The following is a 14,609-nucleotide window of genomic DNA, read 5'->3' as shown; positions in this document are numbered from 1 at the left end:
CCACAGGTGCTTTTTAAAAGTCCTTCAAGTGGAAAGGGATGTGTACATAGGAATGAAGGGTGCCAGAAATGGTAACTACTTAGGTCTGTGTATGTACGTGGCCCTTGAGGGCATTTGAGTTTGCATCTTGTGGTCCCTATACAAGATTAATATTTCAATAATACTTTATTCATTTAATGAACTGCTGTTAGATAACTACAATGTGTCAGGCCTTTGTTAAAATTATTCAGGCTGCAAAGACATGGGACAGAATCCTCATCCTCAGGACACTCACATTCTAAAGGGAGGTCAGACAGACAAGCAAAGCAATTACACTACAATTACAACAGTGCAATGGTACATGCATGCACAAGTTCAAGCGCTCGTAGGAAGGCAGGAGTAATTTTCCCCACAGTATTCAGGGCAGACAAGGGAGGAAGGGACCCTAAGTTAAATCTTGAAATAGGAGGGATGGATTGTAGGACATTCTAGAAATGGGAACATATTACAGAGGCACCACCCAGTGTGCCTGGTGGAGCGGCAGTGGGGCAGAGCAGCTGGGGCATATACCTGGGGGAGTGGAAAGCAAAGAGGCTGAAGTGAGTGGTTGTTGTGGGGTGTGTCCCTCAATTTATAAAGGTCCCGTGAGCCATTCTCAGGAGCCAGAGAGTGTTAGTGAAGTGAGCATCAAGGTAAATTTGTGTCTTATCTCTGTCCAGGGCATGTAAGTGATGATTTGGAGGACAGCCCAGCTGGGGACATGGGACTGAGTTAGTTGGTGGTGACCAAGATCCTGCCAGTGAGCTAGGAGCCTCCCCTAGGGCTGTAGCTATGAAGATGGGGGGATGGAAGAGATTTAATCAGAACAGTGGAAGGACAGAGATAAAGAAGGCACTTTCAGCTTGGAAGATCCTTTTTCATCTTAAGGCTAAGCTCAACTGATGTCTTCTGGCTTTTTTGAGAGCCTGGAGAAAGTGGTAGGGGTGGGAAATGGTTTCTGGTTAGTGTGAACGGGAGAATTATCAACACATTGCGAATGGGCTGGGGTGGGATCTTTCTTTAGCTCTCTGGAAACTAAAACAAAAGCTTGGCCTGCGATGTAATCCCCTCCTCCAATGTGTTTGAATGTGCACCCTAGAAAGACTGTGAAGCCTGCCCATAGAACATGAAGGGTTAATATGGAGAATGATGGAGAAAATATCAAGGGAAGGTCCAGGCTGCCCTGATGAGGTGACTTAGAGACTCACTGTCCCTCTTGGCAGAAATGTATAACAAGGACCAATTCCAGCTCTACTTCCAATGAGTTGTGTGACCTGGGACACATCCCTAGACCACCCTCAGCTTCCTAAACTATAAAAGGAAGGAATGGGTTAGAGAGACTCTACAAGCTCACCAATTTTAAGTGCTACTATTTGGGGTATAAATAGGCAGACAGGAGAGCTTAGTGAGAAAAAGCGCAGGCTCTGAGGTCAGATGCTTGAGACCCAATCCTTCCATTCACAGGCTGTGAGACTTGAGGGCAAGCTAGCTCAGCTCTCCGAGCCTCAGCTTCCTTATCTGTATAATGCTAATAATGATAGAACCTACCTCAGAGGGTTAATGGGAAAATTAGGGGAAATAATGGGAAAATAACAATATGCACTGAATAAGTGTTGGCTATTCTTGCTTTATGTAAAATCCCAATTAGAACAATTTTAGCTTTTTAACTATTCTATCTTTCTGGAGAGGAGGAATTAAAGAATAGAGAGGACATAGGGTTTTGGAGTGAGGGAGATCCAGGCTCTAAAGCTGACTTTGCCTCCCACCAGCTGTAGGACCTTGGGGAAGTCATTTAGGCAATCAGAGCCTCAGCTTCCTTGTCTGTAGAAGGGAAAAGAGCTAACTTTTCAGGAGTGGGGAATATTAAAGGAGGCAGCACACAGAAATTGCCTGGTGCTGTCCTGGATACTTACAGGCGTTCAATACTTTATTCATTCCATCTCTTGTACATAAGTTTATTTGTCTTGTTCATTACCCCAAAGGCCTTTGGAAAAGAAATTGTGTTCATGTACAGAAAACCAAAACAATATTACACTCTTCTGAATGTCTCTATTTCCTTCCCTGACGTTTACAATATAAGTATTAAATAGATTTTTAAGAAGGTAAGTTGTGGTAAGGAAGGCTCTCTCAGCCTGAAAATGCAGTCACTCTCTCAGGACATGGTTGATCCCAAGACACCTGCAACATTGTAAAGGTGGAGGATTTTTAAAGAAAAAAAATGAAGGCTCCCTTTATAGGGCCTAGGTTGGCCCTCATGGTACAGCTGACAACGGTCTGGTTAAATCGATAGAATACACGAATACACGTTCAAATCTGCTGGTGCCTATTTGAAGTTCATTAAAGGATGGGATGTTATAAGTTTTATATTTAAATGCACAGTGTAACTTTACGGAGAAGAGAGTGACGGGGTGGGTGGTGCAGGCAGCAATTAGGTATTGGATGATGCTCTTTCTGCTGGTTATCCCTGTAGCCATTACCAATGGTGCAATTAGGCTGGGAAAACCTAAGACTCAAGCTGAGAAGTAATGCAGAAATATTTGTCTGTCTTCCTGTAAGGCTGTGAGTCTAATGGCAGAAACAACGTACTGAGGCATCTCCTTTGTACCTATTTCTCTACCTGAGACAGAGAAGACAGGAAAGGTGTGGAGGAAGGGACGCAGAGGCGAAAGGAACATTCTCATGCCTGTTAAAGAATGTGGCCACTCAAATGCCTGTAATCCCAGCACTTTGGGAGGCCAAGGCGGGCGGATCACAAGGTCAGGAGATCGAGACCATCCTGGCTAACACAGTGAAACGCTGTTTCTACTAAAAATACAAAACAATTAGCCGAGTGTGGTGGCAGGCACCTGTAGTCCCAGCTACTCGGGAGGCTGAGGCAGGAGAATGGCGTGAACCCGGGAGGCAGAACTTGCAGTGAGCCAAGATCGTGGCACTGCACTCCAGCCTGGGGGACAGAGCAAGACTCCGTCTCAAAAAAAAAAGAAATATGGCCAGACCCCAGCAAAACCAAAACAGGGCCTCTCTCCAACATGGTCCTCCCCTGTCCCATTCAGTGGCTAATTGCCGTCCAGGGACCCAGCTCTTGTCAGTCCTCAAGGGCCCTGCCACAGGAAAGGTGCCTCCCTTGGCTGTCCCTTCTTCTCTTCCAGTGCAAGCCCACAGCACTCGACGTGAAGCCTCCTCTCCCCATAAATGCTGGTCACGTGCCTTTAGACAGATGCCTCCCTCAGAGCCTTGCCTATTATTATTATTATTTTTATTTTTGAGTTGGAGTTTCACTCTTGTTGCCCAGACTGGAGTGCAGTGGCGCAATCTTGGCTCACTGCAACCTCCGCCTCCTGGGTTCAAGCGATTCTCCTGCCTCGGCCTCCCGAGTAGCTGGGATTACAGGCATCACCATGCCTGGCTAATTTTTGTATTGTTAGCAGAGATGGGGTTTTGCCATGTTGGCCAGGCTGGTCTCGAACTCCTGACCTCAAGTGAACCACCTGCCTCAGCCTCCCAAAGTGCTGGGATTACAGGCATGAGCCACCACACCTGGCCAGCCCTGCCTTTTTTATTTGTAAAAATGAGAATAATTATACTTGTCTACCAGGAAAATGATCGTGAGGCACCAGGAAAACACTCCATGTAAAACTACAGGGGTAGGGGACATGGGTGACAAGTAAGGAGAACACTGTGTCCTCAAATTATTATGTCCTACTCTTACACTCTCGACCGAGGCCTCAGGTGATGGTGAAAGGCTCCTTCCTGAGTCTTAAAACATCTGGCTGCCCCCGGCTTCTCAGGTGACAAGGATAGAATTTAGAAGGTTTGGCTCTTGGTTCAAGGGGGCTGGTCTTTAAAGACGGAAAGAACACTTTGTTCCTTGGAAGGAGGATTGGAATGCAGAGCGAGAGCAGGGCTGAGAGTGGGAATGTGTGCAGGGAGGAGGGGTGGGGAGGAGAAGGAGAGTTCCAGGGTCCCACTGAGAGAACAGCACAGGGGGAGAGGCATCTGCCCTACCCAGGAGCCGGGAGCCTTGTCCCAGGAGGGATCAGCAGGCAGTCTGAAATCTGAGCCCAGGGAATAAGGCTCCCACTGTGGGAGGGCTTTGGTCAGAAGTTGGCCAAAGCTCTTACTATGTGAGCTGTGGCAAGAATGCGCTCTACATCATAAGCCAGTACACAGCTACACGTGCCACAGTAGAGGAAACAAAGATGGAATTTTCACAGGACAATGCCTATTCCTACTGCATGCTTTGTGCACTGATATTTTCTATTCTATACCCCTTCCCCTTCCCTTCCCTTCCCCCCTCTCTCTCTCCCTCCTTTTCCACCTGCCTGGCAGCCTTCTTTTCTTGTATAGTTTCTTTCCTCTTGTGTCATCAGCAAAGTTGATTTCTAGACCCACTAGTAGGGCTTCCTTCACTGTTGTTCAAGTGTGGGGAGAATTAAAGGGCTACATCAGAGGCCAGCTAAGGCCCCGCATACCCCCACTCTCCTGTTTCACTCCCTTCATAATCACAAAGTTCCTTCTCCTGCCTTTCCTTCTCCTCCTTTTTTAAAACAAGCAAACAAACAAACAATTTCATCAGTGTCAAGAATAGCAGGATTTATTTCACAAGCTTTTTGGATGATAATAAAAATCACGTGGGGGCCGGTTGATGTCACTGAGCCTCAGGCTTCTCCTCAGAGAGTCCGTTCAGGTAGGTCTAGGCTGGGCCTGGTGATCAGTGTTTGCAACAGGTACAGCTAAGTAATCATGATGATCAGGCCCATCAGGGATTCCCTAATCAGGTTTAACCCCTGTATTGTGCTGATAAGGAATCTGGGGCCAAGTGAGGGCAGCTGCCTTGTCTGAGATCACACAGTGGGCGCCACCCTTGGGGCCAGACATTGTAGTTAGACTGTCTGTGCCTGCAGGCCCTGTACCTTGTACATTACCAGGAGAGACCTTAGACTGAGAAGATGAAGACTGGCCCCCACCATGCTGTAAGTTAGGGATGCAGCTGGGCTGGAACCTAGGTCATTGTAGAATGCTGCCTTCCTACACGGGCCTGGCTTCCTGTGGGGAGGTTCAGCCCATTTCCAGGGCCAGCTAGTCCCTTAAACAAAGGCAAGCAGAGAGGACTGCTGTCTATGGCTGCCCAGCCCCCATCACTTCTTGCTCTGGTCCTGAGCGAGGCCAGGGGTTTATGGGGTGAAGGGAGAATGAGTCACCTCCCTCCACTCACTGTCACTTGGTCCTCTGGGGGTAGGGTGTAATTTGAAGGTTTGCACCTAGCAATAGCCATAGCAACCACCTCCCTGCTATGCCCACCATCACTGTTGCACCGTCCACCAGACCCTGGCAGTGGTCCCACAGGCTTGGAAGGTGCTTTCTGTAGCCCCTTAAAGCAGGAGGACCCTGGGAGCCCACACTTTGCTGCAAGCCAACTGCCAGGACCTGTTCTGCCCCCACTCAGCTCTTTGCTGCTCCTCTGCTGAGGCCTGCGGTTTGACATTTCCTTCCTCACCCAATTCGAGCCCCGGCAGCCTCCAGCCTGGCTGCTAGAGATACTGGTGAGAGGCAACACCGCAGAGAGCAGGAGGTTCTTTCAAGATCCAAAGCAGCCTTGTGAGCTGGTCAGAGCCCTGTCAAACTCTGTAGGAGGAGGGCGTTGAGGTGAGCCTCAGTCCCACCTCGCTCAAGTCATTACTGAAATGTCACCTCTTCAGTGAGGCCTGATCATTTTAAATGGCAACCGCATCCCACCCCTGCACTCCCATCCCCCCCAGCCCCCCACCCCTGCACTCCCATCCCCCTCACCAGCCCCCCACCCCTGCACTCCCATCCCCCCAGCCCCCCACCCCTGCACTCCCATCCCCCCCGCCCCCAACCCCTGCACTCCCATCCCCCTCGCCAGCCCCCACCCCTGCACTCCCATCCCCCCCAGCCCCCCCCTGCACTCCCATCCCCCTCCCCAGCCCCCCACTCTGCATGTGCATGGTGCATATGCAGCACATTTCACCTCCTTAAAGTTTCCTCTCCACTAGCAGGGATCTTTGTTTTGCTCATTGATGCACCTTGAGCACTTCTAAGTTCCCAGCACTTAGAAGGCCCTCAGTGCACATTGTTGAATAAACAGGTGACAGAATGGGAGTGGCTGCTGCAGCCAGCACCACCTGACACGGCCAGGACACAGGACACTAACGGGGCTCCCTTGCCAGCTCTGTAGGAGTCCTTTTATCCCACATGCCCATCGTCTTCTTGAAACAACCACTTAAGGGAACCAAAAAGAACCATGTCACAAGCATTCTGACGGCATGGTCAGGAGGCAACTAGGAAGCCCCCGCTGCTGCTCTTAAAGCCTCGCTCTCTCTGCCCAGTCACAAAAGCCTGGAGTTGTCAACAATATTATTACAGAGAGTAAACCTTTCCCTCCCCTTCCTCCTTCTCTTTCCTCTTAAGTACCAGTGTGTTTATCAAAATTTGTTTATCCCATTGCTCTAATGAGGTAGGAGGTTTGGATACCATTTCTTTCTTTTTTTTTTTTTTTTTTTTGAGACGAAGTTTTGCTCCTGTCCCCAGGCTGGAGTGCAGTGGCGTGATCTCAGCTCACTGCAACCTCTGACTCCCAGGTTCAAGTGGTTCTCCTGCCTCAGCCTCCTGAGTAGCTGGGATTACAGGCGTGCACCATGCCTGACTAATTTTTGTAGTTTTAGTAGAGACGGGGTTTCACCATGTTGGCCAGGCTGGTCTCGAACTCCTGACCTCAGTGATCTGCTCACCTCAGCCTCCCAAAGTGCTAGGATTATAGGCGTGAGCCACCGCGCCCAGCCTGGAGCCCATATCTTGGGAGAAATGAGGGAGTTGAGGGGCAGGGGAGGTGATGGAGGAATCGAGAAATGGTGGCTGCTAAGGACTTCCTTTGCTAACTTAGCAAGTTTATTTTAGGCTAAACTTGTTACTTCGAGATGGTCATTAAGCAGAAGAAATAGAGATCATGAGCCGTTCTCATAGGCAGGCCAGGGACTCAACAGTATCTGCCTCCAGAGAGCTTGCAGCAGAAAGGGAACTGACACAGGGGTGTGTGCGTTGAAAGGGCACTGGCTTGGAAATTAGAAAGGCTAGCTTGTGGTGCTGGTGTGAGTTGTGGGAAAAGGGGTGGCCTTTACCACTAACTACTATGTGGCTTCAAGCTACTCCCTTTTTTTTTTTTTTTTTTTTTTTAAGATGGAGTCTCCCTCTGTCACCAGGCTGGAGTGCAGTGGTGTGATCTCGGCTCACTGCAACCTCCACCTCCCAGGTTCAAGTGATTCTTCTGCCTCAGTCTCCCAAGTAGCTGGGACCACAGGCACGTGCCACCATGCCCAGCTTTTTTTTGTATTTTTAGTAGAGACGGGGTTTCACCATGTTGGCCAGGATGGTCTCGATCTCTTGACTTCATGATCCGCCATCTGCCATCTCCTCTGTAAAATGAAATTGGACTGATAATCTGAGGTTCCTTCCAGTTGCCCCAAATCTCGAGGAAACACTAAGCCTATTGACTACTAAGGGTCTCGCTGGTCTCATCAGTGGGTACTAAGTGGGGCTGCAGTCTCGAGTTCTGGATATCTGAGAGATTGGAATGGATGCTTGTTGCTAGGGCATGCTGGAGATATGGTTCTGTCGGCAAAGCCCTCCTGCCCCAGCTCCCCCAGCTCCATCCTGGGATTTGGGGATTTGCTAGTTCTGACATGAAGGAACCCAGGGACTAAGAGTATCTTCAAGTGTCTTGGTCAAAGCTGGCCTCAAGGGCATGAGTGATTCAGGGAGTCTCTCATTCTGCAACCCCTGCCTTTATAGAGAATACCTCCCCAAACTTTTATAAGAATCCGCATCACCAAGTGGGAGTCTGGGAGGGGAAGATGGAAGGAGAAGGCAGGCCACAGAACAGCCCACTAGAGGTTGTGATAAGAAATCTCCAAGGAGCAGCTGATTCCTGTGGGTCTAGATGATGGTCTGAAGATTCTTAGGAACAAGACAGCACTGCCAGGTCATGCAAAAGCCAGGGGACCTCAGCCCCAGGAATAGTAAGACAAGAAAATACACAGCTATCGTATCCAGATCCTAAGGCTCCTGATTTTTGGAGGGAAAGCCAGGTGTGAGCTGACAAGTCTTTAAGGGGGAGCTCTGAGCTGGACTTGGAAGGCTCAGCCAGACACAGATCAGCAAGGAGGAGAGAGGGCTTCCTGGGCAGGAGGAAGGTCTGGCCCGGGGAATAAGATGGCAAGTTCTGGGAGGAAGTGAAGAGCAGAGGGTCCCTGCAGAGGTGACAAAGAGGAGCCTGGCCAAAGTTGGCCCTGGTGCCCCAAGTTTCTATAGACCAGGGGATATCAAGGGTCAGGGGGAAGGTTGAGACTGAGTGATGGTTTTATCTCTTCATCTGTCTCTTTATCTTGCAGGATTCTCAGTAAGTTAAGTCAGGAAATCAACAAGAACGAAGAGAGGAGGAGCATCTTCACACGCAAGTGAGTGCGGCTGGTGTAAGGAAACGCAAGATTTTTCAGTCCCGAGTTGAACCTTAAAAGGGAGGCACAGAACTGTTTTTGCCCTACTTTTTGATCTGCATTTGTCCCCTGAATCCCAGGGGTCTGGAAGATGGTGTCCAACGAGGGGAAGGGGTTCCCTCCCCTGCTCTGCATCCTGTCCCTGGGTCTGGGACATCAGGGGAACTTCCTCTACAGCATCAGACAGTCATGAGCTTCCAGTCATGCCACTGATGTGGCTTGGTGATTTCCAGAATTTTCAGGGTATCCTAGCCCCAGTTGCTGAGCAGCAAGGATACAAACCTCTCTTGAGCAGTGAGACATGCCCTCCACTGGGGACTCCCTCTCGCTGGACCAGGTTGAGGAAAGAGGGAGATCCCCTTAAATCGAGAAGACCATTAATGCAGTGCTATTTACCTTTGCAGACCCCAAGTCCCGCGGTTTCCTGAAGAGACAGGTAAAGCTCTCAGGGCTCAGAGGTGATTGCTTTAGGAGGTGATAGGTATTTCAGTTTTCTTGCCTTTCTGGTTCCTGGGGCTCCTTGAGTTCATTCAGGTGACCTTACTGACTTGTCTGTCAGCCAGTTCTTACCCAGAAAAGGGTTTGGGTCTAGATGGAGGGGAGGAGATCTTGCTCTGCAGGCCACCTGGCTTATGGCCCCTGTTCTGCTGGGACCATCTTCAGAGACACACTGAGGAGCTCTGGGAGCTCTGTAGAGGAAAACAGAGGGACCCCACCTCTGAGTGAGCACCTGAGCTTAGCTAGTCCCCCTGCATCTGAGTTTTTTTTTTTTTTTTTTTGAGACAGAGTCTCGCTCTGTCGCCCAGGCTGGAGTGCAGTGGCACGATCTCGGCTCACTGCAAGCTCTGCCTCCCGGGTTCACGCCATTCTCCTGCCTCAGCCTCCCGAGTAGCTGGGACTACAGGCACCCGCCACCATGCCCAGCTACTTTTTTTGTATTTTTAGTAGAGACGGGGTTTCACCATGTCAGCCAGGATGGTCTCGATCTCCTGACCTCATGATCTGCCCGCCTTGGCCTCCCAAAGTGCTAGGATTACAGTAAAGCAGCTTTTCAACTGTTCAGTTGCACATAGTGTTGCAATGCAGATTCCTGGGGCCCAGCCTGTCCCACTGAGTCAGAAGCTGTAGGCATAGGCCCCCAGGTATCTACAGGTCTTAAAGCACTTCCTAAGTCACTGTTACACACGAGAAAGGTTGAGAACCATCGCCACCCCCTGGTTCTCTGGTAGAATGAGCACCTTGGGCAGGGTCGCTGGAGCTGACAGTAAGTGGCTAAACCTGCAGGGGTGTGGGAGGTAGGTGGAGGCCAGGGAAGGGGCATTGGTGAGGGAAGGCATCAGATGGGGAAGCTGCTTTGACTTTCCCTCAAGTGGTGGCTTTTCTTCAGTGCTGATGGTGGTGTCATCTCCTTCCACAGAAAGCCACGAAGAGGACAATGGGGGCTGGTCGTCCTTTGTGAGTATGGTGTGGGCTGTTCTTGCACCTTTACAGCAGTGTCCAGGGCAGCTTTGTGATAAGGAGCCAGGATGGAGCCAAGTGAAGCGGGGCTCTAACATGATGCCAGCACACCCACCCAGGGCCCAGAAAAGGTGCTCTGCACAGGGCCAGACAGGAAATAGTTTTGGCTTTGGGAGCCATGCACTCTCTGTCTCAGCTACTCAACTCTGCTACTGGAGCACAAAAGCAGCCACAGACAATGAGCAAACAAACAGGCTTGGCTTTGCGCCCATAAACCTTCATTTGCAAACACAGAGGGTAGGCTGCACGTGGCCCTAGGCTGTACTTTGCTGACTGCACTTCACCCACTGTTACCAACCCCCACCCACTACCCCCCCGTCTCCAAAAATGGACACTCCTAGAAATCTACTCTCAAGTAGCTTTTCTCATGGACTTAAGTCCCCATCGGTGACACGGAGGGAAAAGAACTTCAGAACCAACTGTTGGCCCTGAAAAGACCTCAAAGAGGGTGCAATCCAGTTGATTTTTACATTGAAAGGTCACAGTTCCCCCTCTGAGAGTCTGACGGATTGTACAACCCCTCCCCAGGAACCTGTATACACAGTCACCACCCATGAAGCAGTCTCAGGCTAAGAACTCTATTATGGACCGTAGCCCAATCTGTTCATTTTACAGATGAGGCAACTGAGTCCACAGGAGAGCAGAACGTGACGTGCGTAGAACACAAAGTTAGTTAGAGGCAGACCTAGGACCCAGGTAACCAGACCCTCAGTCACGTGGGCCTTCTGGTAAGAGGCCACCTCTAGTGCCTTCAGAAGGCAGAAACAAACTGTCCCTTGACCTATTGGGATTCTGGTAAAAGAAAGTATTTAATTGGAAAAAAAACAAAAAAAAGATTTAGCTAAGTTTATGCTTTCTACCTGAAAATGAAGGAATTTGACAGATTTCTCTGGTACAAAGGGAAAATAGCCCAGAGTTTCCGCTGGAATGTTTCTGTTTACTCACAGAGGCAGAATCCTTGCCATGCAGCCTCTCTTGTGCTGTGCCTGAGGCTAGTCTTCGATCCTCTCTGTAAACTGAGGGCTTCCATTCACTAGTGGCTATAGAGCTTGGCAGCTCCGTTATGTGCCCAGCTCTTTGCAAGGGCATACTGGGAAATGAGTGGAGATAAAGGACCCAATCATAAGCATTTTACAGTATGGATACCCCATTTTAAAAAGGTAAACTGAGGCACAATGCAATTTTTTTTTTTTTTTAAGGAGTTTATTTGAGCAAACAGTGATTCATGAATCAGGCAGCACCAAACCAGAAGGAGGCTTTGCTGAAGAAGGATGAGGGACAAGCATTTATAAAGTGAATGTAGATGTAATACAAAGAAAATATTTGAACCGGGTGCGGTGGCTTACACTTGTAATCCCAACACTTTGGGAGGCCAAGGCGGGCAGATCACAAGATCAAGAGATCGAGACCATCCTGGTCAACATGGTGAAACCCCATCTCTACTAAAAAATACAAAAATTAGCTGGGCGTGGTGGTGCGTGCCTGTAGTCCCAGCTACTTGGGCGGCTGAGGCAGGAGAATTGCTTGAACCCGGGAGGTGGAGGTTGCAGTAAGCCGAGATTGCACCATTGCACTACTCCAGCCTGGTGACAGAGAGAGACTCCATCTCAAAAAAAAAAAAAAAAAAAAAAAAAAAAAAAGAAAATATTTGATGGGTTACAGTTATAACCGATCTCATTTAGTCTATCTTGCTGGAAAGCTCCTAGTTATATAATTATGAGTTGGCTGGCTACTTCTGATTGGTTGGGCTTAAGTTCTGTTTTTCTTTAATACAGGCATTTACAAGAAATAGCCCAAGTTAACTTTTGCTTATGCTGCAAATCAAGTAAGGTTTAGGTCACTGATGAGGCCCAACTGGTTTTGTCTGCTCAGGGATTCTTCAGGCCTGGTCTCCATTTTAATTTACTTTAACACACATATGGCAGAATATAATTAGCAACAACATCATGCATACAAATTTAGGAGCCAAATGATTGGGAGAAAATAATTGTTCTAGAAGCAGAGAGGAAAATTCTGTCATTTGAGAAAGGTTGATGGGGTAAAGAGCTGGTGTAAAGTCAGGAATGATGGGCCTAGGGTAGACAGGGTGAGGAAAGGGTCAGCAGCCTGGAGGGAGGCCACGTGCCTGCGGACCTCCATGCTGAGGCTCTTGATCTGAAGCAGCATTCCTCTGGGGCTCTGCCCACCTGCTCCTAAAGTTATAAGAACCCTGACAGGGCAGGACAAAGTCTTTTTTTGGAGTTGGGAAGGCACCCAATGCTCACTTTGCCCCTCTGTTGTTGATGTTTTTAATATTCCTCAAGTCAAAAACAAACACAGGACTCTCTCAACAGAACAACGTAAAGACAGTCTGCCTGAGGCCACCCAAAGCTGTCAGGATTTCTAGGACACTGGAACATTTCTTTCCTCAAAAAGTGGCCACTTCCCATTGCTTTTTCCCACACTGCCCTTGAGTGTTGAGGTCTGGGCTCATTGACTCACCCCCTGGACTTTGGCATGACCATGATGAGCGCTCATCACTGCTGCTGATGGTGCCGCCTTTGCTTGGGAGGTCATTCTGATGCTCATTCACCTTCATGGACTGCTTCAAAGGCAAGCATCCAGCACCTCGGGCTTACTTTCCCTGAGATCCAAGAAGAAGCAAAAATAAAATACAATAAAAAATCTAAAATTTAGAGATTCTTTCCAAGAGAACAGCTTCAAACTCAGTGTCAGATTTCATGAATAATGGATGTGTTGATACACTCAACTTTCAGCAAAAAGAACAGCACAGCCTCTGACGGTCCCCTCCTCGACACAACTTAATCTGCCTTCCACTTAACAGGCTTTGTTTATCTGTTTTTCCCCTTAGCCGGGCCTTCAACGCTGCACCAGGTTATAATGAGAGGACATTTTTTGAGCACAGGCACCCTTGAACAGAAATGGCAATTAACTAGTATCATCACAAATGCTCCAGGCCTTTAGTCTTTCTCATGGTGATGCCTGGAGCAAAAAATGTGTTTACTCAAGACAGAGCCTATTCCGGTACCTTCTATTCCAGCATCCTTCCCCTTTCTTCTCTCTCTGTTGTGCAGAAAGGTGTTGTGTAAAAAGGTGGTCCGAAGACCTTCACCAAGGTCTCAAGTCCATGACTTGCTGCCCCTGTGGTACAGTGCTCCCTGACCTCAGATTCCTCATCTGTAAAATGGGAGTAACCATCTTCAGGCTGCCTGGTCCCGGGTTATACTGTTGTGAGGCTTGGCAGGGAGAGAGTAGGCACAGGCACATCGAGGGCCACAGAGCCTCTACAAACTGCACTGTCCCTATCACTGTGTGGGCAGGAAGAAGACGATTATGAAAGTCCCAATGATGACCAGGATGGGGAGGATGATGGAGACTATGAGTCCCCCAATGAGGAGGAAGAGGCACCCGTGGAAGATGACGCGGATTATGAGCCGCCACCCTCCAATGACGAGGAAGCTCTGCAGAACTCCATCCTGCCTGCCAAGCCTTTCCCCAACTCCAACTCCATGTACATCGGTAAGGGCCCGTTTCCGGATTTTCTGGCCCGAGCAGCCCAAAGGCAAGCTCGCCACTGCTGCATGGAAGGCTGATGCCCCAGCTTGCCCATGTAGCAGAAAGCTCTGGGTCTCGATATCTGCTCGGCTTCTTAACAGCTATGTGGCTTTGTACAAGTAACTCTGTCTCTCTGGGCCTCAATTTCCTCATCTGTGAAATAGGATAATAAATGTACAGACCACATAGGTTTCCTGTGAGGACTACTAAGACTGCAACCAATTCTTGCCTATGGTGGCTGATATCAGCATTGAACTACCACCTAAGGCTATTTGGCAGTTTCAACTCATTCTGCAGTTTACTCAGGTACTCCAAGAGTACTTTCCTGTTCCTCCCCATCTTTTGACCAAATTATAGTTACATGGCATTATTATGCTAGAATAAACATGAAGATATTGAGTAGGGTTTGACTATAACTTTAAAAAATATTAGATGGTGTTTACGATTTTTATTGTCTATCTGTCCTTTTAGCCCACTTCTCTCTCCATTCATTCAACAAACATTGTTGATCTGCTGGGAGCCCAGGCCCCATTCTCAGTGCTTAGAAATGATCAGGAAAGAAGAAATAGCCCCTGCCTCCTGGGGCTTACATTCTAGTAGTGGTGTTGACAGAAAATAAACAAATATATTCTTAAATAATATACTTTCAGAGAGTACGCTGAAAATTGAAGGTCAGTACCACAAAAAACGAATACCATTTAATCCTTTATGCGGTATAACCCATTTCCATTTTAAAGCCCTTTCACAAAATGCTGTCTCAATATCTCATGGTGGTTTTTAAACATCTGTGTAATAAGGACAACCATGATCAAGTCTGTTTCATATACAGGGAAGTGGAGGTCCGGAAAAGCAATGGATGAGTCAGTTGTTGAGTGCCTTGTGTGTGCCAGTCATTAAGATACAGAGTGAATAAGACAGCCCTCGCCAAGGGACTGACAGTCTGGCAGGTGACGCACCCTCCAACAAATGAGCCATGAGGTTACTTGGTGAAACCGTGATACAGAG

General features: G+C 48.6%; 1 protein-coding gene across 2 annotated transcripts in view, besides 3 other annotated features; it reads left to right on the top strand.

Moving 5' to 3' along the window:
- Positions 1–14,609, top strand: part of LCP2 (lymphocyte cytosolic protein 2) — a 51,545-nt gene that overhangs the window by 13,491 nt on the left and 23,445 nt on the right. The window contains exons 4-7 of one of the 2 annotated variants that reach the window (NM_005565.5): positions 8,427–8,492; positions 8,936–8,967; positions 9,949–9,986; positions 13,370–13,568. In NM_005565.5, coding sequence (NP_005556.1) covers positions 8,427–8,492; positions 8,936–8,967; positions 9,949–9,986; positions 13,370–13,568 — 335 coding nt within the window. The remainder of the gene's footprint in view (positions 1–8,426; positions 8,493–8,935; positions 8,968–9,948; positions 9,987–13,369; positions 13,569–14,609) is intronic. The other variant, XM_047417171.1, reaches the window with a different exon arrangement.
- Positions 7,167–7,216: a silencer, noted in NCBI's record as "silent region_16605". NCBI's record gives its function as "represses an Ori minimal core promoter by ATAC-STARR-seq in GM12878 lymphoblastoid cells {active_cell/tissue: GM12878}" and the evidence as "EXISTENCE:reporter gene assay evidence [ECO:0000049][PMID:35858748]".
- Positions 9,634–9,693: an enhancer, noted in NCBI's record as "active region_23604". NCBI's record gives its function as "activates an Ori minimal core promoter by ATAC-STARR-seq in GM12878 lymphoblastoid cells {active_cell/tissue: GM12878}" and the evidence as "EXISTENCE:reporter gene assay evidence [ECO:0000049][PMID:35858748]".
- Positions 9,794–9,843: a silencer, noted in NCBI's record as "silent region_16604". NCBI's record gives its function as "represses an Ori minimal core promoter by ATAC-STARR-seq in GM12878 lymphoblastoid cells {active_cell/tissue: GM12878}" and the evidence as "EXISTENCE:reporter gene assay evidence [ECO:0000049][PMID:35858748]".

The sequence above is a fragment of the Homo sapiens genome, chromosome 5 (genome assembly GCF_000001405.40).
Source record: "Homo sapiens chromosome 5, GRCh38.p14 Primary Assembly".
Lineage (NCBI taxonomy): Eukaryota > Metazoa > Chordata > Mammalia > Primates > Hominidae > Homo > Homo sapiens.
The sequence above is the reverse complement of the archived record's forward strand: the minus strand, read 5'-3'. Positions and strand labels throughout refer to the sequence as shown.